The sequence below is a fragment of the Homo sapiens genome, chromosome 14 (genome assembly GCF_000001405.40).
Source record: "Homo sapiens chromosome 14, GRCh38.p14 Primary Assembly".
NCBI lineage: Eukaryota > Metazoa > Chordata > Mammalia > Primates > Hominidae > Homo > Homo sapiens.
Genome location: NC_000014.9, coordinates 64,845,958 through 64,871,027, shown reverse-complemented (window position 1 = coordinate 64,871,027; position 25,070 = coordinate 64,845,958). Strand labels below are relative to the sequence as shown.

Below are 25,070 nucleotides of genomic sequence, written 5' to 3'. Positions count from 1 at the left end.
ACATTCACATTGCTGTGCAGCCATCACCATCATCCCTCCCCATCATCATGAAAAAGATGGACGTTTTTCATCTTCCAAAACACAAGCACTGTGTCCACTAAACACTAACTCTCCATTCCCTCTCCCTCCATCTGTCTATGGACACTTGGGTTGCTTCTACTCTTGCCTATTGTGAATAATGCTGCTGTGAACATGGGTGGGCAGATATCTCCTTGAGACCTTGCTTTCACTTCTTTTGGACATATACCTAGATGTGAAATTGCTGGATCACATAGTAATTCTATTTATAATCTTTTAAGGAACCCGTCCATGCAATTTTAATATTTCCCCTTGGTATTTAACATCTCCAAAGGGAAGGGCAAAAATTTATTATCCTCATTTTGGGGGCCAAACTGAACTTGAGAAGTGTTTGTTTCAGAACACTGTCTTTGGGTGATAGTTCGTCATCAAAGTTCTTGAATTTGTTCATTTATTAGTGTGCCTGTTTTTAGATTGTAGACTTTTAGAGGACAGGCAGGTGATGTTTAATTTGCTTTGTAGAGCATGTAGCCCAAGCTCAGGTGGGGAAGGGTGTAAATATTATGCGATGTTTTATTTCAGCTAAAAAATCTCCTTGAGCTGGATGACAAGAGTCTGGGTTGCTTCCAGCTCCTTTCCTCTTGCTGTTTGCCCTTGGGTGAAGAACTTCCTCTTTCTCTGACTTTTTTTTTTTCAGGGCTTTTTGTGTGTGTGATTGTGATGGTGCCTTAACATTTATTATTATCCTTAAAATTTTCCTTGTGGATTCCTCTGTAAAACTTACATGTTGCCTTCTCTTTGTAACCTTGCCTGACAGCCCCTCTTCCTTACCAGGTCCTGGGGTAGCGCTGATTGCTTCCTCCTTTGTATTTTTACAGTACCCTTTTCACTCCTTTCTTACAGGTGGATCATCTTGTTTTGTAATTGTCAACTTGCCTTCTACACTGTTAGTTCAAGCTTCTTGCAATGGGGAACTGAGTCTCATGCTTAAAAACAAAACAAAACAAAACCTCTGCACCTAGAGCCATGTTTTATACATGGAGGGGAGTGGCTCAGAAATATTTGTTGATTAAAAAATTAGGCTGGAAACATCAGCTCATGCCTATAATCCCAGCACTTTAGGAGGCTGAGGTGGGCAGATCGCTTGAGCCCAGGAGTTTGAGACCAGCCTGGACAACATAGCAAGACCTGTCTCTACAAAAATTAAAAAGAAAAAAAAAAAAGCAGGGCATCGTGGCACGTGCCTGTAGTTCCAGCTACTCAGGAGGCTAAGGTGGGAGAATCACGTGAGCCCAGGAAAGTTGAGGCTGCAGTGAGCCATGATTGTGCCACTACATTCCAGCCTGGGTGACAGATTGAGACCCTGTCTCAAAAAAAAAAAAAAAAAATTTAAAAAATCTGACCAAGCACAGTGGCTCACACCTGTAGTCCCAGCTGTTTAGGAGGCTGAGGCCAGAGGATTGCTTGAGCCCAGGAGTTCAAGGCTGCAGTGAGCTACGATCATGCCACTGAACTCCAGCCTGGACTACAAAGTGAGACCCCATCTCAAAATAAATATATTAATTAAAAATTTAAAAAAGAATAAAGAATCATGTGGCCAGTTAGCTCAGTTGGTTAGAGTGTGGAGCTCATAAAAAATTAAAGAATGAATGTTTGAAATTACACGTAACTAAGTTCATATAATTTTAACTTGGATACAAGGCATTGTTATGCTAATAAGTTTATTATAACAGTAAGTCAACATTTATTGAGAAAGTTATGTGGTAAGCACTATGCTGAGAGTTTTCATGTGTATTTATTATTTACAATCAGACTTGGAAAAGTTAACTTACCCATGAATACCCACCAAGTAAGGTAATAGCTGGACTTGAACCCATGTGTGTTTATTCTAGAGTGCTTGCTTTGAACCACTGTGCCTGCTCATATTGGGGTGGAAGCCAACACTACATGACTCTTAATTCTCAGCGTTTCTTTTTTTTTTTTTTAATCCTGCATCTTTAATGATTTGAAATTACAGAGGTAATTAGTTGCATACCTTTATATATTGCTTTATATTTGCAATGACTAAACCTAATAGACTTGAATCCCCTTATTAGCTTTTAATAAATAATTAATGTTCTGAATCCTACTTCCAATGTAGTTATTTGACATCTAAGGATGGAGATGCTAATTAGTACTGCACAATATACCCACTCTCATAAGGCAGCTGTACCAAAACCGCTTTAGAAAAGGTCGGAATTATTGTCAAATGCAATAGCCTCCTTCCATACCCGAGGTTTCCAACTTCTCCACAACATTTGACCAGTCTCCCATTGAACCTCTGCCCTCTCTGGGCTTCTGTGACCTGGGCCCTCCTTTTTTCCCTCCTAGCTTGTTTACCACTGCTGCTGCATTTGCTGCTGTTCCTTCCTCTCTGCCAGCTTTTACTTGTTGGGATTGCCAATAGGTCTGAATCTTTATCTCTAGTCTGACCTCCTCCTCAGTCCCAGATCAGCTTCACAGCAGTCTGCTGCTGTCCTTATTTGCTTCTGTAGAGATGTCTCAAGCTCACCATGTCATCCTGGGACTTCTTGCCTCCCTTCTTCACTCCAAATCTGCTTTTCTGCCTTGTTTTTTTTTATAGCTAGGTTCATGTTGTCACCATCCCCCCAAGTAAGAATCTCACACCATTTTTGGTCTTTCTTTTCCCCCCCATACTTCCACATCTACTTGGCTGCTTGTTTTTCCTCTAAAATTTTCAAATTAGTTTCTTTCTTTTAATTTCCACTGTCACTATTCTTATGTTTGAATAATAATTGGCCTTTAGGCCTTCAGTCTCTACCTTTCTAACCCATCCCACACCCTGACCTCAGAATTATTTTTAAAAACCTAAGTCTGACTGAGTCATTCTACTGCTTTAAAACCCTCAATGGTTCCCCATTGCCCCAAAATGAAGTGTAAAGGGGCAGGCACGGGCCTCCACAATCTGTTCCGACCTCTCTTCCTAGCTTTATTCCTTCTCCATTATCTTGCCTTGGATGCTTGGGACTTGCTCAACTTCAGGCTCATTTTCCTGCCTCCATGACTTTGCTGCCACTTTTTCTATGCCTAGAATCTTTCTTCTCTTTCCTCAGCCATGAACTCTTTTTTTTTTTTTTTTTTTTTTTTTTTGAGACAGAGTCACCCTGTTGCCCAGGCCAGAGGGCTGGAGTACAGTGGCATGATCTCGGCTCACTACAGCCTCCACCTTCCGGGTTCAAGTGATTCTCCTGCCTCAGCCTCCCGAGTGGCTGGGATTACAGGTGCCCGCCACCATGCCCGGGTAATTTTTGTATTTTTAGTAGAGACGGGGTTTCGCCATGTTGGCCAGGCTGGTCTCGAACTCCTGACCTCAGGTGATGTGCCCGCCTCGGTCTCCCAAAGTGCTGGGATTACAGGCATAAGCCTCCGCACCCAGCACAGCCATGAACTCTTACACATATATGCCTTAAGACCCCCATCAGCTATAACCCCTATTTGAAGCTCTCCTGAAACTTCTTTCCCTCTTCTGTGACCCCAGAAGACACACATTCCTTCCTCTTTTGCTGTCCACGCTGTAGCCTGGCTGGTCATGGACAGACCTGACTCACCTCTAGATTATGAGTTCCTTGAGGAAGAGACAGTGTCTGATGTCCTTGGGGACACTCGTGCCCAACTCAGGGCCTGGCTTATGTGCAGTGCTCAAGAAACAAGTTGAATTGGGTGATAGAGGGAGGTTTCAAGAATATTAGGCACTGTAAATAATCCAGAAATTAATGACCTATAGAAGATTATGAAGAGGGGCTAATGGAAGACACTATGGATGGGACGGAGGTGAGGAGGGAAGAGGATTGCTTTAGACTTGAGTGGAGGCTGTCTTCCACCTCTATATTCTCCACCGTTTCCCATTTATCGGAGGAACAAGTAACGGCTGATTTTAACTTACATCGTCAGATATGTCTATTGCTAGAAAAATTTATTCATCCAGAATACAGTCACTCCCACCTCATTTTTCAGTGAATGTTTGAAGCTGACCCTCAGAATGCAGCTATGAAAGGCTCTTTGAGTGGGCGTTTCAGATCCACGGACACAAGATTTGTTTCATAACAATAAAGAGTTAAGAAAAGCACTTCAGAAAAAAAAGACTGAAAATTCCTGTATAGAGGTTTTATTTTTCTGGGTACAGTTAATCTGTTTATTGTTTGTCCTTAAGGCATGTCAAAGTAGGAACTACCTTGTAATATATTACAGTATTTTTTGGTTGGCTTGTTCTGCCCTCATTTCTGCCTTACCCGGACAAAAAGTGAGCCTCACCAACGGCTGGACTCACCCGAATTCTGCTTGCTCAGGCCTCTGAGCATGTTTTGTTCCTTTCAACAAAACTCTCTGTCATGGATGCACTCCCACTGCAATCCAGCCGCTCTCTTCTCCTGCCTCGTCCTGCACCCAGTGACTGATAGGAGCTGGTATTTAACTTCCAGAGGCGGTGAGTGGAGCTACGAGGCCTCTGAGTATGTGGTGGGGTCTGAGATGAACTGATAAGCGGAAGGCCCTCAAAGGCCTTGGCAAGATGTGCCTGGGATAAAGAAGGGCAGGGGACAAAGTTAGGCCTTGTGAGAGGGACCTGAGGGCAGCGAGACAGAGGAACGGGCTTGGCCAAGACAACTGAAGACCCCATTGAGCTCTTACGGGTGTCCTGAGGCCAGCGATAAGCAGACAACAGTCAGCAAACTCGATGGAGAGCTGACAGTGAGGGTAGGATAAACAACTAGCAGCTTCTAGAAGCTCTGGAATGTCATGAATGCTAGTGATCATCACCCCATCTCGAGGATTACTAGGTGCCATAGTGAAGGTCACCAGTAGGCTGACTACTAGTTAGTGGCCTCACTGCATGCTCTTTGAGTGAACAGTCTTATTCATTTCATAGATGTTTTACTTTGTGGTATTTTAGCCACACCATGGTCTCTGTTTTTCTCATTTAAAATCCAGGTTGCTGCTTATAGAGTCAGTAGAGCAGGCTCTGCCTTTCTCTGCAAGGTGGGTGTTTACATTCTGTAACCGCTTTCTGGAACTGTTGGGAAATCTTGATGCCCAAATGTTCAACCTAAACTTGACGCAGGAGGGTTCTTTACGGTGTGAAGTGATGGGAGGAATGAAGGTGTTTGCAGGTACGGGGAGTGAAGTAAGATGGTAGAATCAAAGCAGCTGCTCTGGGAGAGGAAGCCAGTATCCTCTGCAAGGCAGAGACCTATACCCGTGAGGGCAAACTGGGTCATTTGTGTTTCAAAGCTGTGCGAAGTCACTTTGCCCAGGAGACTGAAAGAGCACTCCATGGATCTAGGCTAGCCAGGCCCTTCTTACCATGGTCGCTGGTGAGCCCAGTGGGTGCATGGTAGAGTTGGTACTCAGTACAGTGTCCTCAATGTAGCAACTCCAATGGCAGCCTTGGTTTAGCTGCTCTCACCGCATCTGACCCAGAAAACGCTCAGAAAATGACTGCAGTGAAACGCATCTTCAAGGTGAAGCTTTCAGTCCAGGTGGGGGAGGGATGCGGAGTTGATCCCAAGGGTTCAATACTTCTAAATATGCTGGGAGTGAGCTTTGTTTATGCTCTGACCCAGAGGAAGTCACTTTACATCTCACCCTGCTTCTACCAGCGTAGAGTGCCTTCTGCTTGTTTTGCATAAGCTGTGTGCCTCCTCTGCAGAAGAGGCACAGAATGAATTGGGAGCTATAAAACTCCTGGCAGTCGTAATTCTTTGTGAGCAGCAGAGTCTGGTGAGCAGTGTATTTTGTTGGCAAGTGATCATTACAGTCTATACTTGGTTTCTCTGTCTGTAAGACGGTGGGAATGCTTTCTCACTGAAATGTGAAGGGGGTCAAAATGAAATCGTGTATACATTGTCCTTTCTCTAAGACCTGATGCTTAAAGCATCAAGACTCATCAAAGAGAGATGTTATATAGATAAAATCTACTCCAAGCATCTTGCAAACATTATCTAATGGAAATTGTCCCTGAAGAGCATCTTGTTCAGCTCCCTTATTTTACCAATAAAGGAGATCCAGAGGGGAGTTATTGGCATGAGCTTGCATAGTCAGTGCAGGACTCTTGAGTGAAACCCTGGTCTCCTGATCCATGGTCCAGACCTTCTTTCCTGCCTGTATCTCTCCTTCCCTCTCCTTCTTCATCTTCTATAACTTTTTAAAAACCAGTTTTTAGAAATTATAACACGAACATGTTATTTTTACCCAGGGTAAAAATAATTCAGACAGTACCAAAGAGTATAAATGGCACTCCTAGACTTATTACTGCGAAGAGGCACAGGTAACAACTATTAACAATTTCTTGTCTATTCTCTAGAGATTTTCCAGGCACATGTAGACATATACACATAGATACAGATATGTGTTTGTGTAGGTATATATATGTATCTATGTGTATGCTGTGGTCATTTATTTTTTCATACTACATTGTAACTTGTCCTTTTGGCTTAATGATGAAACACCTTGGACGTCTTTCCATATTAGGACATAGAGGTTTACCTCTTTCATTTTTCTGTTTTTGAGATGGGGTCTTGCTCTGTTGCCCAGGCTGAAGCACAGTGATGCAATCATAGCTCACTGCATCCCTGAACTCCTGGGCTCAAGTGATTTTTCTGCCTCAGCCTCTTATGTAGCTAGGACTACAGGCATGCACCACCACACCTGGCCTTTTTTTTTAAGAGATGAAGTCTCATTATGTTGCCCAGGCTTGTCTTGAACTCCTGGGCTCAAGTGATCCTCCCACCTTGGCCTCCCAAAGTGTTGGGATTACAGGCATGAGCTACCATGCCTGGCCTGACCTATTTCATTCTTATCAGCTGTGTAATATCTTATGCTCCTTCTATCTCTTCATGATGAGTTTCAGAATTATAAGCAGCACCATGGAATTTGAGTCCTGAATTCATGATGCCAAAGTAATAATATGAGAAATCTGAGACTCTGCTTCTATTTGCTGATGCTATGTACTTATGGGCCCCTGTCATATGCCAGCTGCCATGCTAGGGCTTCAAATACCTTCACTCATTTAATTCTCACAATAGTCCATTCAGTGTGATATTGTAATTGCCATTTTACTGATGAGGAGGCTAAGGCTAGTCAAGCGAAGTTTGCTTTGATTCACACAGTCAATTAAGTGCCTGACTTCAGATTTATAGCCAGATCTACTTGACCCAAAAGCCGATGCTATTCTCACTGTCTGAAATCTAGGACACTAGGGAGAATGGTTATGGTGAATTGAAACCAAGCATTTTTTAATGGCTTTCAAGTTTGGCTAGTTAAGACCTAGAATCTACTATGTGCACAGCAATGACATGGAGGACCAAGTAGCGGTGGAGCAGAGACAGAAATGATGCAGGGAGGTGGGGACAAGAAGCAGCTGCTCCTCAGGACATGTTATTGCCTGTTATATGCTAGGCTGCGTGGAAAACAAAGAGGTCATTGGCTAAGGCACAGTTCTCTGCTCTTGAGAGGTTTGTAGCATGACACAAAGTGGAGCCAGGTAGGTGCCATTGTGGGGCTGGCTGCAGAATGCTCCAGGGTCTACACAAGCTTGTTTAACCCATGGCCTGTGGGCTGCATGTGGCCCAGGGCAACTTTGAATGTGGCCCAACATAAATTCATAAACTTTTAAAAAACGTTATGAGAATCTTTTGCAATTTTTTTTTTCGCTCATCAGCTATCATTAGTGTTAGTGTATTTTATGTGTAGCCCAAGACAATTATTCCAGTCCAGCCCAGGAAAGCCAAAAGATTGGACACCCCTGGTCTACAGGAAGCCAAGATTGGTTTTGACCAGGGACCCAGATCTTGGGGCACCATCAAAACTTTCTAACAGGGGAGTGACATACAACCAGCTATGTTTTAGGACACCCTGCAGAAATATAACAAAGGACTCAAGAGGGTCTAAACCAGGGCAGTAGGAATGGAAGGGAGGTGGTGAATTCAAGAGCTTCTGAGAAGTCAGAGTATCTGGTATCTGTACTTTCTATGTGAGGTAGGATCCAGCGTCAGTATTTTCAGGCCCTACCACATAAAGGACCAAAGATATTCAAATTTGCCAATATCCCATATTAAATATCATGGGGTGTGGTTTTTTTTTGTTGTTATTGTTGTTTATTTGTTTTAGCTTTTTGTTTGTTTTGTGACAGAGTCTCACTGCAACCTCCGCCTCCTGCATTCAGGTGATTCTCCTGCCTCAGCCTCTCTAGTAGCTGGGATTACAGGCGCCCAACACCACGCCCAGCTAATTTTTCGTATTTTTAGTAGAGACGGGGTTTCACCATGTTGGCCAGGCTGGTCTTGAACTCCTGACCTCAGGTTATCTGCCCACCTCGGCCTCCCAAAGTGCTGGGATTACAGTTGTGAGGCACCGCGCCCAGGCCACCACCTTAAGTGCCAGTGGACACAAAATTAAGATCATATAATCAAAATTAAGAATAATTCTAAAATCCTTTCAAATATTTCCAAGAACAAAAATGTTTTTACAGAGATGGGGTCTCACTGCGTTACCCAGGCTAATAAAACATTTTTGTTCTCGGAAATATTTGAAAGCATTTTAGAATTATTCTTAATTTTGATTATATGATCTTAATTTTGTATTTATAGTATTTTTCAAGTCTTAAAGCATTTTTGCAGGTTCTTAAAAAACTTGTAGGTGTGTGGTGCCCACTGGCACTTGAGGGGAGGGAGAGAGCCGCTGAGAGTGGCTGGAGTTTTCTAGCTCAGGTATCTAGGAGGTTGCTGTTGCTAATTTACTGAGATTAAAGTCTTAAAAGAAAGAGGCACCCTGGGAGTAGGGAGGAGGTACAAAGAAAGAATTCAGTGTTAACTGTGTTAAGTGGGAAGCAGCTGCAGCGTGTTCTGTGGAGCTGCTGTAGCAAGTTGAGCCCAGGAGGGGCTGGGCTGGGGGTGTCGATTTGACAGCTCTCAGCACAGAAAGGGGAAAGGATCACATGAGAGAAGAGAGGCCTTAACTTTGGGTAATGCCAACATTGAAGGGGTGGGTGTAGGAAGAGAATCTAGTAAATGTGATTGTGATATCACAGCACAATGAGGATGAAGAGCCAGGAGAATCCAAGGCCGTGGAAATTCAGCTTTGAGAAAAGGATGGTTAATCGTGTCTAACGTCGGAAAGGAGTACGTGAAGGCTGTTAGCCTTGGAAGAGGCTCAAGTGACCCTCAAGAAAGCAATTTTCGTGGAGGCATGAAACTCGATGATCAGGAACTACAGAGGAAAGCCGTGGCGAGGAGCAGAAGACAATGAATGCAGATTGCTTTTCTGAGAACTTGATGGTTTGAGAGAGAGGTCAAGGGAAGTTTTGTGCAGTGAATAACATGATTTTTAGGCCAAGAGGATGGAGATTCCTTGGAAAGAAAGTGGGGATGCTGAGGTAGCTAGGGATGGAGAAAGGGTTGGTAGATGCTGGAAATCTCTGGGAGGCTGGAAAGCATCAAGTGGGTGGGGGAGCCGGTCAGTGCAGCCACGTGTGTGCCCTGCTGTAGATGCACAGTATCATTTCGAGAACACTTGCCGAGCCCTGTCACATACAAAGAACCATGATAGGTGGCCCTGTGGCATTCCCCACTTATATGAGGCTTGAGTGTATGCTGTCAAGGGCAGGGACACTTTTATTTTCTCCTTTATTTCTTCTTCTAAAAAAAATGGGATACATGCACAGAACGTGCAGGTTTGTTACATAGGTATACATGTGCCATGGTGGTTTGCTGCACCTATTGACCTGTCCTCTAAGTTCCCTCCCCTCACCCCCAACCCCCGATAGGCCCTGGTGTGTGTTGTTCCCCTCTCTGTGTCCATGCGTTCTCAATGTTCAATTCCTACTTATGAGTGAGAACATGCGGTGTTTGGTTTTTTGCTCCTGTGTTAGTTTGCTGAGGATAATGGCTTCCAGCTTCATCCAAGTCCCTGCAAAAGACATGATCTCATTCCTTTTTATAGCAGCATAGTATTCCATGGTGTATATGTACCACATTTTCACAGGCATTTGGGTTGGTTCCATGTCTTTGGTATTGTAAATAGTGCTGCAATAAACATACATGTGCATGTGTCTTTATAGAGGAATGATTTATATTCCTATAGGTATATACCCAGTAATGAGATTGCTGGATCAAATGGTATTTCTGGTTCTAGATCCTTTAGGAATCGCCACACTGTCTTCCACAATGGTTGAACTAATTTACATTCCCACCAACATCGTAAAAGCATTCCTATTTCTTTAGGGCAGGGACTTTTTGTTCAGTGCTTATTATTTGTGGATAGAGCAGTGCCTGGCACTGAGGATGTGTTTGTTGACAGACTGATGAACTTATTGCACCTGTCCTACAATGTTCTGAGGCAGGCTCGATCCTTTTTTCTTTTTTAGTGTCCTACTGTGGGATATATGATATATGGATGAGAATATAAGTCACACACATGTAAGTTTTGAAGCATAGTTATAAAAAAAAAAACACAGACCTGGCTTCCACACATGTGCGCCTACCTGGGTGTTCCTTCCCTTTTCTCAGAGCCCTGCCCTCTCAGGTCCTGTTTCTCTTGGAAATGTGGACAACTGAGTTTTTACTGGGACTCCTCCTGTGCCTCTCAGTGCCCCATTCTGGGGCACCAGGATGTTCTGTAGAAGCAGGGAAAGAATATATGACGATCCTTTAGGGGAAACAAAAGGGCTCATTCAATGAGTGGGTGAAAGATGAGACTCCCGGTTGATGGTGATAAGAGGATCTTGTTTCCTGAAAGTTCTCTGGGTGTGAATATACTTTCTTTGCTTGGTTCATGTCACTGGGGGATTGCCTTCTTGCCCAGTGAATAGGAGGACTCTTTGCTAAGAAGTCCAGCTCCTGCCATCCCAAACTATTTTTGGGAAGGTCAGAAGCTCAAGGATCAGGCCATATTTGCTGCAATTCTCTTAGATTCTAGGGGGGAAAAGTATTTTATTCAGTTGGAAGCACCTGACTTCAAGTTTTAGGCAATTTTACCTTTTCTCATTGAGATGTGGTGGGAGATTTAACTTTTTATTCACAGTCTTTTCAGAAACACTTAATTTTTTTTTTTCTGATCACAAATGTAATACAAAGTTTTACTAATGTAAAATATTACAGAAATACAGACCATAGAAAATGAAAGTTCTTCATCATCCACCTTTCTTAGCCCTCAGATAATCATGGACCATAATTTGATGCATATTCCTCCATATTCTTTTATACATATACTAATTATATGCATATATATATATATATAGAGAGAGAGAGAGAGAGAGAGAGAGACAGAGAGAGAGAGACAGAGTCTCCCTGGGCTCAAGTGATCCACCCACCTCAGCCTCCCAAATAACTAGGACCACAGGTATGCACTACCACAGCTGGCTAATTTTTGAATTTTTAGTAGAGATGGGTTTTCTTATGTTGTCCAGACTGGTCTCAAACTCCTCAGCTCAAGCAATCTGCCTGCCTCAGTCTCCCAAAGTGCTGGGATTACAGGCATGAGCCACCACGGCTGGCCAATTGCTATTTATTTTTACTGAAAATGTTCTATAGTTTAATACTATTTAACAGCTTACGTTGTTTAACTTAGCAATATATAAAGATCATCTTTCCGCATATGCATACCTATAGACTTACCTCATTCAAAATTGTTCCACTATATTTCATGATAGGGAAGAACCATACTTTATTTAACCAGTTTTATTTTATTTATTTATTTTTTCTTCTGAGACGGAGTCTCGCTCTGTCGCCCAGACTAGAGTGTAGTGGTGCGATCTTGGCTCACTGCAACCTCCGTCTCCTGGGTTCAAGCGATTCTCGTGCCTCAGCCTCTGGAGTAGCTGGGACTATAGGCACGTGCCACCACGTCTGGCTAATTTTTTTGTGTAGAGATGGGGTTTTGCCATGTTGACCAGGCTGGTTTTGAACTCCTGACCTCAAGTGCTCCACCTGCCTCAACCTCCCAAAGTGCTGGGATTACAGGTGTAAGCCATTGCACCTGGCCTATTTAACCAATTTTAAAATGATGCCTGATTAGGTTGTTTCTGTTTTTTTATTTGGCTTTTGCTCTAACCAGTAATACAGAGCTATTTCTAAACTGCTAGAGGTGCATAGTCTGTTTAAGCTAAGGCAGCTGGTAAAATGAGGCCATTTTTACTGAGGAAAGGGAAGGCTGAGCCCCAAGATTCCCCTGATGCTCTCCTGACATCCTCTTCTAACAGGCAGACAGACCTTTCCTGTAGCCCAGGACGTCACCTTCCCCTTCTCCCAGGCAGGGTCCAGGCACCAGCCTTTTACTGGGATGCGTACTTAGACCAAATGCCACTGTCATTTGTTTGGCGTTTCCCCCTTCTTCCCTCCTTTCCTGTCTTCTTTTCCTTCCTTCTCTCCCTGCTTTCTCCTACTCACTTGGTGTCCAGTTGCAGCTTCCGCTGTCTCTCTCCTCTCTTCTTCCAGTCACCTGTGGTTGTCCAGGCTCTGCTCGCTTCCCTTCCCCACAGCAGGGCCTCCTACTGCTCCTGACTGTGTTCTCATTTCATACCTGCTCGAATTTCTAGTTTCTCTAGATGGTGCCTTTCTTAGTATCTGCTGCCTTCACCTATCATCTCTGCAAAATGTATTAAATCTACTGCTTTCCCAAGTACTTGCCCTACCCTTTAAAGGATCTAAATAAGAATCAAGTTTAACACCGCTGCTGCAGCAGCCTCTTTACTCCATGTTACCTAGCTCTTACCTGCACCCTCTGTTTACTGCACCGTGAGTAGTAAATTTCCGTTCCTCGTGAGGTGACTTCATTTGTAGTAGAAACTCCTGCTGTGTGGTGTGGCAGAGACTACATGCTTTGGCTACGGTCTGACCTGGCTTCAAATCCAGGTTCTAACACTTGCTAGCTGTGTGGCCACAGCAGGTAATTTAATCTTTCTGATCTTCATTTTCCTCCTCAGTAAAATGGGAAGAATAAATAATACCCACCTTGCAGATAGGATTGTGCTATGCTGTGGATAAAAATGTGTGTCAGATGCCTGGCACATGACGGGTGAACAAAAATGCTAGCTACTGTTGTCATTATAGCTCAGTTTCTCTTTTGCAAATTTGTTGCTTTTTAGCAGATCTCATTATGTGTTATAAGGGATCAAAGAATTGATGTATCCAAGGTCCTATTAGAAATGGATCCCATAATGATTTACAATTTTGAACATAAATATCTTTGCCAGCAGTTCCCATCTTTCTAGCAATAGTAAATAGAGTAATTAATAAAACAACAATTTAGAACAAGAACTTAGATATTTTCTTGAAGTCCCTTGTGCTAGAAATAATTTATATTTTTCAGAGAATAGCTGTTCCCATTCACCCCAAATGATTTCCAGAATCAGGATTTTTTTTTTTTTTTTTTTTTTTTTTTTGAGGCAGTGTCTTGCTCTGTCGCCCAGGCTGGAGTGCAGTGGTGTGATTATGGCTCACTGCAGCCTCAACTTCATGGGCTCAAGTGATCCTCCCACTTCAGCCAAGTAGCTGGGACTATACATGCATACCACCATGCATGGCTAATTTTTAAATGTTTATAAAGATGGGGTCTCACCATATTGCCCAGGCTGGTCTCAAACTCCTAGGCTCAAGTGATATTCCCGCCTCGGCCTCCCAAAGTGTCAGGATTATAAGCGTGGGCCACTGTGTCCGGCCCGGGATTGTTTTTTCTCTCCTAGATCCAGCAGTTGTGCTGGATGATGCTCTTTGTGGTTTCATTATTGCCACAAATATGCACCAAAGGCTTTCTAATCCAAGACTTCAGCAGTTCATTTGAGGGTTTGCTATAGATTAATATGGCAATAGTTCTCTGGTACCCTCACTATCAAATTTGTGTATTGCGGTCACATGCTGCATTTTGGGGTTTCATACGCAGCATTCTGGGGTTACTTGGTTTGGAGTCCAGTCTTTACTGGTTTCTGGTGCTAATCCCTCAAAGGGTTTCACAGGACCATATGAACAAATGATAAGGAAATTAAAGCATGGACTCAAATTTTCTTTGAGTCTCAGAGGAAAATCAAGAACTTTGTTCCCTTCCCACAGAGGCAGTGAACTTGTCCAAGGTCTCAAACATGTCAGCAGCAGCTGTCACTTGTGTTTTCTCTGGAGCCATCCTTCCTTGTGGCCTGTAACAGCAGCTCTCCCACACTTGGGGCTTAGTTGCCCTCCTCTGAGACCAAACAAGAAACAAATTCTTGAGGACTCCCGCCCTTCTCCCTTGAGAGTTTCTGAGCTCCGTAAACCTTGGGAACATTTCATTGCCCTAGGGAGGGTACGTTCTGCCTGGGAGGCGTTAATGAATGCAAAGGCATTTGATTTGCAAAGTTTGCCCTGGCTAATCCATTTGCAGGCAAGTTGGGTAGTATCATCTCTTCCTTTTCAAATGGAAGAAGGCTTGGTGAGGAAGATGACTTGCCCAGAGCATCCCAAAGTTAGCAGGACTGAATTTTCCCTTCCAAACCTTGAAACTCTTGCTTCCTTGCTGAACTTGGCTAAGCATCTTAGGGGCATGATGCTGATGGCTCAGGGGCAGCTCAGCTGTTCTGAGAATGTGGATAGTCTCATGGAAGAAGAGGAACTTAGCAGTGAGCTCCTCTCTCCCTACAGAAGGATCCTCCCTCTCAGGTGGCAGCTGTGAAGAGTCCTGGTGAGGGAGGTTTGGGAAGGACTCTTGGCCTTTAACATGAGCGTTGGGAAGCTCCTTTCTCAGGAAGTGAGCTGCCTTGTAAAACTGAAGCGAGATTCCTGGAGAGACAGCCTTCTGGGCCTTACTGTGCTTTGTCTGCTTAAGCCAGCAGGAGCTACAGAACCCAGCATTAGCACATTGCTTTCTTTTCTGAAACCTCCACTTTTTCTTAACCTCTTTTCCTCCCATTTCTTCCCTCCCCTGAACCAGGCAAGGAGGCTTGGGGCCAGCTGGGCTGTGTGTGTCCTTGCCATCTGCCAGGCCTCACTCCTCGGGCCGGAGCCTGGGCTTCAGCCAGTGCTTCCGCAGCTCTGCACTGCAGCCCAGCCCTGTGAGCCTCTCAGTGGCACTGAGCAGGTGTCCTACCAGAGTGCCTGGTGCTGTGATGCCAGCCTCCTGCTCCAGCCCTACAGGAAGGGGTGGAGGCTCGAGAGAGGCTCCTCTAAGGCAATCTGGTGGAGAAGAGGCAGACCACATGCCTGGAACACCTCCCCTGCTGGTGCTCTCAGGCACTCTGGCCCCAGCCCTCCAGTTTCTTTCTCTGCTGTATATTTATTTTTCATGAATTTTGTGGTTCCAATATCAACAAGAGGAATTGAGTGGAAAATCCAAATCCGGAAGCACTTAAAAAGAAGATCCACATTTCTCTCAGGAATTACATTGTGTTTTTCAGGAGGCCAAGGTGGGAGGTTTGCTTGAGCCTAGGAGTTCGAGACCAGCCTGGTCAACGTATATGAAAAGATTTAAAAATAATAATAATAATAAAAAAATTAAGTCATGTTAGAACACAAGGGATGATGAATATTTGGTGTCTTGTGATGGAAATATTTTATCTAATACGGTTTCTCTTTTTTCATTTCCCCAAGCCATAAAGAATAACTTCTTAGAGTGTCATTTTCCTATTTCATAAAGAATGGTGTTTTGAGTGCATTCTACTCTGGGAATAGATCTCTAGGCTGGTGTCCTCTGTTGATCCACCCTGTTGCGAGAGGAATAGTTCTTGCTAGACATTTTGTCTTCACATGGACACCTTGTTGACTGTCTTTCCTTCCCTTTCGTTCTGTTTTTGCTTTTCTTAGCTTTGCTGCTTTTTTATTTTGTCTGTCACTCCTCACTGGTTGGGAGGCCCTTTGCCTGGTAACTGGCGCATTGGGCACCCTTCTCTTCCAGAGAGCCAAGTGGTTCCAGGTGTCTCTGCTGTCATTTGACCACAGAGTGGTTGTGAAAGGCACTTGTTTTCCGGCGAGTTGCCGTAAATTAAGGGCAAGGGCCCCAAGGATGATCTCATTCAGGCGCCACTTCCTGAAAGGGGTGATCATGGAGCCTGGCCCATTGGAGGGGCATCAGCAGCCCTTCCCAGCCAGCCTCTCTGTGCACAGAGAACTCATTTGTAGGGGAGTTTCTGGGGTGAGGTAGCACTACTACTTTGTTCACCAGGAAATAATACCAAGTTTCTCAGTTTTCCCCTCAATGAAGGGCAAGGCCTTGGAGGCCTTGGCCTGCCGGCATCCTGGAGGATGGGATGGGGTGTAATCCGAGGAGCCTTCCCCTCACCCATGTGGTTTTCTGGGCCCAGCTTGGCCCAGCAAATGGAAATCCTACACGACTAGCTGAGGCAGAACTAATATAGAGAGTCCAGATTTGGACCATCTAGTGGAGACAGAGCTGTCTCCAATCAAGATTCCGGAAAACTGGCCGGGCGCGGTGGCTCACACCTGTAATCCCAGCACTTTGGGAGGCGGAGGCGGGCGGATCATGAGGTCAGGAGATCGAGACCATCCTGGCTAACACGGTGAAACCCCATCTCTACTAAAAATACAAAAAATTAGTGGGGCGTGGTGGCGGGTGCCTGTAGTCTCAGCTACTCGGGAGGCTGAGGCAGGAGAATGGCATGAACCTGGGAGGCGGAGGTTGCAGTGAGCCAAGATCGCACCACTGCACTCCAGCCTGGACAACAGAGTGAGACTCCATCTCAAAAAAAAAAAAAAAAAAAAAAGAGTTTGGAAAACTATTGACTGTTTTTGCCCGGTGATAAGGTTTTTTGTTTGTTTGTTTGTTTGTTTTGTTTTGTTTTGTTTTGAGGCGGAGTCTCACTCTGTCGCCCAGGCTGGAGTGCAGTGGCACGATCTTGGCTCACTGCAACTTCTGCCTCCTGGGTTCAAGTGATTCTTCTGCCTCAGCCTCCTAAGTAGCTGGGATTACAGTCACCTGCCACCATGCCCAGCTAATTTTTGTATTTTTAATAGAGCCGGGGTTTTGCCATTTTGGCCAGGCTGTTCTTGAACTCCTGACCTCAGGTGATCTACCTGCCTCGGTCTCCCAAAGTACTGGGATTACAGGCGTGAGCCACCGCGGCTGGCCAGTGATAAGTATCTAAAAAAATTTTTAATAAATGTCTCTTGAGTCATACCAATGATAAGTGTTAAATTTTACTAAGCTCCTGATATGTGTGAGATCCTAGGCCAGTAGACACAAGAAATGTTCCCAAACACTTCAGGGCTGCACAGAACATCTGCATCTTCAATCCTTCCCTCTCTCTTGCTGTTTCACTCTTGCCTATAGATAAGTTCAGGTCTTTCCCATTGAATACAACTGTCCCTTGGCCCTGCATGCCTGTCTGCTCCCCCTCAAAGCCCCATACCCTCTCCCATCAAACATTTTGAAGGAATGGGCTACATTCTTCGTTGTACTCTGATTTATTCCACTCCCTGCTGCCATGGGTTCTTGTCCCCGTGCCCTACTGAAACTGTTCTCCCTGTGGTCACCAGCTGTGAATCACTAAGGCTCTCTGGGATATGGGACAGTGTTGTTTGCTCCTTGCTTCTGGAAATTTCCTCCCCTGAGGCTTCCTGATATGGTTATCTCCTAAATTGCTTTGTTCTTTGATGGCTTCCTGGGCATATCCTGAGGAAGAGGTTCTCCAGGGTTCACCCTCAGCTCCTATTCTGGGCAGCCTAAACCCTCTTTGGGGACAATCTTGGCCCCTTTTGGTGTTCCTGCTACCACCTATTTACTGATAATGACTCTAAATTTCTCTGGTCTCCAGCCATTCATTTCCACAGGTTCAGGACTTGGGTACCCAGCCTCAGGTTAAGCATTTCCACCCAGATATCCCATGGGATGTCCAGGACTTTTACTGTTGGCTTTGCACATGCTCTTTCCCCATTCTTTGCCTGTCTCTTATTTGTCCCATTGCCTGTCTCTTATTTGTCCCATAGGTATCCATTTAAAGGCTACTTCCTCAGGGAAGCCTCCCCACATCCCCCAAGCTAGTGAAAACCTCCCTGTTAATGCTTGCCTAGTACCTATACGTCTCCTCGGCAGCACTCTGCAATGTGTAAATTATAATTATTTGTAATAATTCACTGGCTATTTGTCTTCCTTGCTGGACTGAAAGTACCACGAGAGCAGAAAGCCTGTCTATTTTGCTTCATTATTGCATCCCAACACCTAACATTATGGTGAGCACAGGGTAAGGGCTTGCTATGAAATTCTGACCCATTGAACTCATCCTTTATCCCCGCTAAACTTCCTCCTTGTCTTGTAATCACTACCTTGGTTGATAGGACCATCATCCACTTGAGAAATCATTCTTGGCTCTTCCCTTTCTCTCACTTGCTATTTCCACTCACCTACCAGTATCCTACATAGTTTTGTAAGCTGATTGCTCCCCACCATCTTGGCTACCAAAGTCCTGAGTCTTGCCCACACCGTCTCTTGTCTCAGTTACTGCAGTGACATCCTAATCAGTTCCCTGCCTGTAATCTTGTCCCTTCCCCTTTGAATCCATCACTCCATATGCCTGCCAAAGGGATCTTTCTAGAAGGCAAGCCTAGCCATGCTGTTCCATTTAGCACCCTTCACTGACTCCCCACTGCTCAGGTTCCCCTTGTCTGGCCCCCAGCCTTATCTCTCACCCCTCTCTGAACTGGTAGCAGTTTCCCAGGATCTCCAGGCTGTTTCTTCCATCCTTCCATGCCTCCACATATGCTTTCCTCTTACTTCCCTGTTGTGCCTGGCTCCACTTCTCCATCACCCCCAAGTGTGCCTGGATAACTCCTGTTCCTCCCAAAGGCTCAGCTCTGATCCCCACTCATCGTCCACCCTTGCAGAAGGCCTTCTGTGTGTCTACTCTGCTCCCATGAAACCCCAGGTACTTCCCTTTCCTCGTTGTCACCTAGCCTGTTTTTACAACTTTTCAAATACTCAACTGCAAGCTACTGGGGGCTTTTTAAATATTTTTATTTTAAGTTCCGGGGTACATGTGCCAGATGTGTAGGTTTGTTACATAGGTAAGTGTGTGCCCTGGTGGTTTTCTGCACATATCAATCAACCCATCACCTAGGTATTAAACCCAGCACGCATTAGCTATTTTTCCTTTAGCTCTCCCTCCCCCCTCCACCCCCCACAACAGGCCCTAGTGCGTGTTGTTCCCTTCCTTGTGTCCATATATTCTCATTGTTCAGCTCCCACTTACAAGTGCTAACATGCGGTGTTTGGTTTTCTATTCCTGCGTTAGTTTGCTGAGGATAGTGGCTCCAGCTCCATCTATGTCCCTGCAAAGGACATGATCTCATTCCTTTTTATGGCTGCATAGTATTCCATGGTGTATATGTACCACATTTTCTTTATCCAGCAGGTTTATATCATCTTCGTAACCCTCATGCCTAGCAAAGGGCCTGGCACACAACATGCCTTTTAAGGGAAAGAGTGAATGAGCCCAAATAATGGGATTGAAGGACAAACTCGTACTGCTGCTACTACTACTACTGCTGCTGCTGCTGCTACTGCTACTACTACTACTACTACTGCTACTGCTACTGCTACTGATATTAACTCTTTCTGGGTGCTAGGCATTGTTCTGGGTATTTTCCATATATGAAGTCTTTAATATTCACAACAACTCCATAAAGTAGATAATGTTAGTATCCTTGTTTTATAGGTGAAGAAATAAAGGCACAGAGAGGCTATTTTGTCCAAGATTACACAGCCAGTAAGTGGCAGAGCTGGAATTTGAACCCATGACACAGGAAATCTGCTCATAGCCCTGCCTCTTAATCCTTGTACTGCGTTTCCACTAGCGGAAATAACATAATTGAACATTTTAAAACTATGAATCTGTTTTTTTCTTTGTGTTGCTCACTGGGTCTGTAGTGTTCTCTGTCCTTGGAAAGTAAAAAGAATCTAAAAGTGGCTAACAGGGCAAGCAGTGGGTCTCTCTGGACATTTCTGTATAATCTGGGCTGTTACCTGGGAAGTTGTGTCAGGTTCATAAAGAATGTGACATGTACATAGACAGAAAGAAGACCTGGATTGGGGCCAGCTTAGTCCTTCTATTTCTCTAATGTCTGAAAGACTGCATGCAATGAGCTGGTCCTTCAGTTGTCACCCTGTTGAATGAGAATGGGAGTACATCAAACTCTGGCTGTCACTATACTTCAGAAGAACAGAGTTTGACAGAATGAAAAGGAAGGGGAAGAGAGAGGAAGAATTGTGGAATCATTGGGAATGGAGATCACGAAGAAAGGAAGGCTGGAGTCACCATAAATCACATCACTTACTGCACCATTTTCACGATGACAAGTAACCCAAATCATGGGAAGAAAATAGGAATTGTTGGCATTCTACTTATTTCACTTCTCCCAAGAATTGAACTCTTCATTGTTGGGCGGACAAGAGGCAGGGGACTCGTGCCTTAGCCCAGGCCATGATGACAGCACAGGTCTGGGCTCTGAAAGAAGCCAGGGTTTGTGAGGGGGCCCTTGTGAGGGGCTGGAAACTTGAGGATGTTGGCCAATATGTCTGTCTGGATGTAATGGGAGGAACTATCAGAAAACGTGGGCTTTTTGAAAAATCAAGTCTGAGGTTGAATCAACTACAGTGGTTCTGAAATCCTTCTGGAGAGTCCCATGGTGGGATTCTGAAGAAGCCATCCACAGGTGTGTGTGGACAGCCTCTGGGGAGGCCCTTATCCTACCACTCCTTTGGAGGCCACTCATTCACCCACCTGACGTCCCCTGTCCTGTGTCCCAATGGTGATGCACTGAGTAAGGCATCCGATGCTTAGTAGGCATATGAACAGTCAGTCCTTCTTGTCCTCTTCACAGGTAAAAAGCAGAAGTCAGAAAGCTTTTTCTATAAAGGGCTAGGCAGTTTCTATTTTCAGCTTTGTGGCTGCATATGATAGTCTCTGTCACATATTCTAGTTTGTTTTACAGTCCTTAAAAATGTGGATCGTAGCCGTGCAAAACATACTGGGGGCTATCCTTTGACCCCTCCTGGTCTATAGTAATAATCCTGCAGCTTTAAGCTCTGCCACAGGTGGAATGAGTGCTCCAAAGGCCCCAGGATATGTTGAACTTTGTCTTTGAAGAGTACAGCCCATGCGGCATAAGATGGGTTAATACTCTAGACCAAGGGTCTGCAGATGAGAGCACTCAGGTACTCCTTGCTGTAGTTAAGTTGAGTAGAGTGTTAGTAGCCACATAGCCCCTCTTACAGCCTCCTGATTATAGTGACAACAAAGGTGACTTTTGGTGGATTAAAACAAAAAATGTCCTTACTTTACTCTGAAGGTGACTTCATACTAGGAATGGCCCTCATCTCAGTGAGTGAGATGGGAATCCCTGACATTGGAGTTGGAGAAATGACCTGAAATGAGGAAGATTCTATTCAGCAGGTGAAAATGTAAAATTTTGCTCTAAAAGAGGAGATGCACAAATATTGTTTTGTCTGAGTTGAGTTAGGATGAAGTGTCCAAGGTTTAGTAAAACAGGGCCAGAATATCCAATTATATTTTTGCCATTGTCCCTATCTTTTCTTGAAGGGACTAGGTTAATATAAACATTGCTGTGACACATTTGCTACCTATAAAGTAGTTTTTTAGACATAGTGTTGAGAACTAATAGAGTAACAGGGCTAACCCACCTCTCGTCTAGTCCCCCACTCAGGCAGTGGGGAAACTTTGGCTTGTGCCATTTCCCTTTTCATCTCATTTTCAGGTCCGTGGTTTCTTGTTTGAAGCCAATTGAGGATATGTGTTTTCAAATTCAGAACGTTTTAAATTTGGAAACATTATATGGTGTTTGGGACAGCATCCCATAATCAAACATGTTATTATTTTTGCAGCAAAACTAATGAATATTTACACAAAGGAGGATAAATAAAGGCTATAACTTAACCTACTTAACCTATTCAGGGCATATTTTACTGCCAAATTAATTATTTAAAAAAATCTTCTTTCAGAGCTTTTGGGGAGAATAGTTGCAAATAAGGGATTATGATCCATATGATGTCTCTGAACTTAGACTCAAAGCTCTGTGAGTGTAGGGGATGTATCCTCCTTAATGCTTAGTGTAGGACATGCACATAGGTGCTCATTAAAAGTCAATTGATTTTTATTAATATAAATATGATTACATAAGTCAAGAGTATTATGTGGCTATTAAACAACTAGCCCTTATTTATCTTTCTATTTTTCTAATTTCATAAAGTATTTTTGAAAATGTTGGAATTCCCCTATAAGCTATAATTAAACCAAAAGCTACCTTGATGGAGCATAAATTGGAAAGTAGTAAATAAGGTAAAAGCTATTGGACTCTCTGTGTGTTAGTGGGTGAATGAGTGATAAATTAGTTAACTTGTGGAGCTATCTTGCAGTTTTGTAATTCAGCGATGTAATATGCACAATAATTAACTTATCAACAATATTGATGAAAATTGAATATCAGAGGTTTATTGTGCCTCAGTACCAACTACTTATTTCAACCATGAGCTGAAAATGACTAAGTGATGTAATAGCAATATTGAAAATGGTACCATCAGCAAGAGAGAAACGATGAGGTCATCCTCTCAGAACATCTGGCCAGCTCTCTACACAGGCTTGAGTCTCATTTAGGAGCTCCTATTAGAGACAAATGAGGAGAATTTGGAGTGGGTGTTAACGAGAACAAAGAAAATTAATGTGATTTTTTAAAATGGTCTCCACAATAAAAAGCAAAAGAGATTTGGATCATGACACCAGAAAGCAAAAAGAGTAGGAGTGTCCTCCCTAAGTGTATGCCTCTAAACAGATTTCTACCTTTGTGGAAGGTAAAATGGGAGGAGCCATCATGTGGTGGTGTTTCTTAAAAAGTAGATTTAAATGGCAGGGAAGGAATGAAAGTGAAACATAAAACTTCTAAATGTGAAGATGGTGAGTCGCTGGAAGAGATAATCAAAGAGGGCCATGGACTCCCCTATTCTCAGGAGACAGTGAAAAGCAGCTTTGTATGATTGATCAGCATAAATATGAGGATACAGATGAGAGGGATGAAGGCATTCACAGGTGAAGGATGCATGCGATCACCTGGCCACGGACAGTGGAGGAAGCGGAGGTGTGGAGTGCCTCCCTTTGTCTCACTCCGGATGGGGTTTGCGGTGGGGGGCACATGGAGCATTGAGGAAATAAGGCATGCTTCCCAAGAGCTGCTCTGTGCTGGCTGACACGACAGCAAAGGGTGGCATGCTGTGTTAGGCATGAACTCTGCAATGAGTTTCAAGTGGTTTATTTAGAATCTGGCTGGAAAAGGAAGGGAATATAACAGGTCAGCACTTCCCACCAGCTGGCTGGTGTCTCATGGTAGTCAGTGCTCTCATCTCAGACTTTCTGGAGTCCTGCTCACTGTTCTGGCTTAGGAGTGTGGTGGTTGCTCCCAGGCCCTGGATTTCTTCTTCTGAGTTGACGTTCTGATCCAAAGCCAATGTAGCTTGAAAGGAGCTAGCACCAACCTGGGAAGGTACCTGAAGGATAGATAAATAGGCTTTTCCCTACACGTCTACCCCCTCCTCCAATTCCCACTGGACACAGGTTGGAAAATTCTCCCCTAGATGCCCACATCGGGGTCCTCTTAGCCTGAGACATGATACGACACTTGGAAGAGGGCTGTCTGATTTGTTCCGCCCATTCTTTTTCATGTGGATGGAGCACGTGTTCTCACATGGCCAGGATTTTGGCCTTTGATGTGTTTTAGGAAAGAAGACCACAGCCAAGTTGGGCTGTCTTCGCTGGCCTTTGGGGTCACTGTTTCCTAGTGAAATTCTGTTTTAATTTTCTGGAGCTTTGAAGATTAGGTCCTGGACCAAGAGCCGACTGGGCTTGAGGCTTCTATGCCAGTGAACAACTGAGGAAATCACACCCCGAGGTGGAGCTACACATAGACAAGGGGCTTTTATGACTGTTGAGAAACATGAGGATGGAGGCAGTATGGGTGGGCGACTGGCTTCTGATAGCTTAGTGGGCTGGCTGTGGACCACTGTCAAGCTTGATGCCGTGTTGCTGGTACCTTCCCTTCCCACATGAACCACTCCTCTGCTCTGAGGCCGTGGAAGGAGCTCCTGATGTTCTCTCTCACCTTAACAGCTAAACTGTAGAGCAGATTGGAATCTGATAGTTCAGTTGACTTCTACTGTTAGCATCCAAGAATGTGAAGGATCAGTGGGACAAAGGCCCTTTCTGACATATATTTAGACCCAATTTAAACAAGACATGAATGTATATGATCCAGACAGTACCTGAATATACTCAGTTATATCATCTCCCAGTGACAGTAACTCATTGTCTTACTGTAATGAGATCATGAGTTCCTTGAAGGCGGGAGACACTGTCTTTCTTGCCCACAGTATGCTGCCATGAGTCCTGCAGGTGCTCAATAAATATTAATTGAATTAATCAGCTGCCACAACACAGGTGCGTACATTTATCTGCCTCATGCTGTCATCCAGGTACAAATACTGACGACCTATGCGTTCTGCTGCCCTTTCAGGCACCTAGGTGCTCTCTCTCTATATCTGTGCAGGCTTTCTGCAGCTGTGTGCTGTCTTGGCCCCTTTAGCTGAGCACATTCTGCAAAGTATGAGGCCCTATTAGCCTTGTATATGCAGCCTATATAATATATAACCCAGCTTTGGGGTCTTTACAATCCCCCCTGCCCCTCCTACCCCTCCTGATGTTTTCTGACCCTTTCAGAGGGTTTAAGGTGAATGAGTCCACTCTACTTCTGGGGCAGAGTTTTTAATTACCGTGTAGTCTTTGTTCTGTTGTTGAGATCGGGCTTCTGTGTGTAGGGAGAAGGGAATTCCAGTCATCCTGATGCGTTATAATCAAGTTACTCACCGCAAGTCGGGAGTAGCAGTTCTCTGCTTTCATCCTGATCACAGGGGTGATACAGGAATGTAGCTTCTAGTGTTTCACTGGGTGCATTAGGCTGTGGTTGCAACAGTGCTTCACACTGGTGATTTTCAGTTTTTTAAGGACCATGAAGTCATTACAAATT

The 25,070-nt window shown here is 44.3% G+C and overlaps 1 protein-coding gene across 6 annotated transcripts in view, besides 1 other annotated feature; it reads left to right on the top strand.

Annotated features, from left to right (window-relative positions):
* Positions 1-25,070, top strand: part of SPTB (spectrin beta, erythrocytic) — a 133,625-nt gene that overhangs the window by 8,880 nt on the left and 99,675 nt on the right. The gene's annotated exons all lie outside the window — the stretch shown is intronic.
* Positions 14,428-14,995: an enhancer, noted in NCBI's record as "H3K4me1 hESC enhancer chr14:65322751-65323318 (GRCh37/hg19 assembly coordinates)". NCBI's record gives its function as "activates a minimal SCP1, AML or CMV promoter by ChIP-STARR-seq in naive H9 embryonic stem cells {active_cell/tissue: H9 hESC(naive)}" and the evidence as "EXISTENCE:reporter gene assay evidence [ECO:0000049][PMID:30033119]".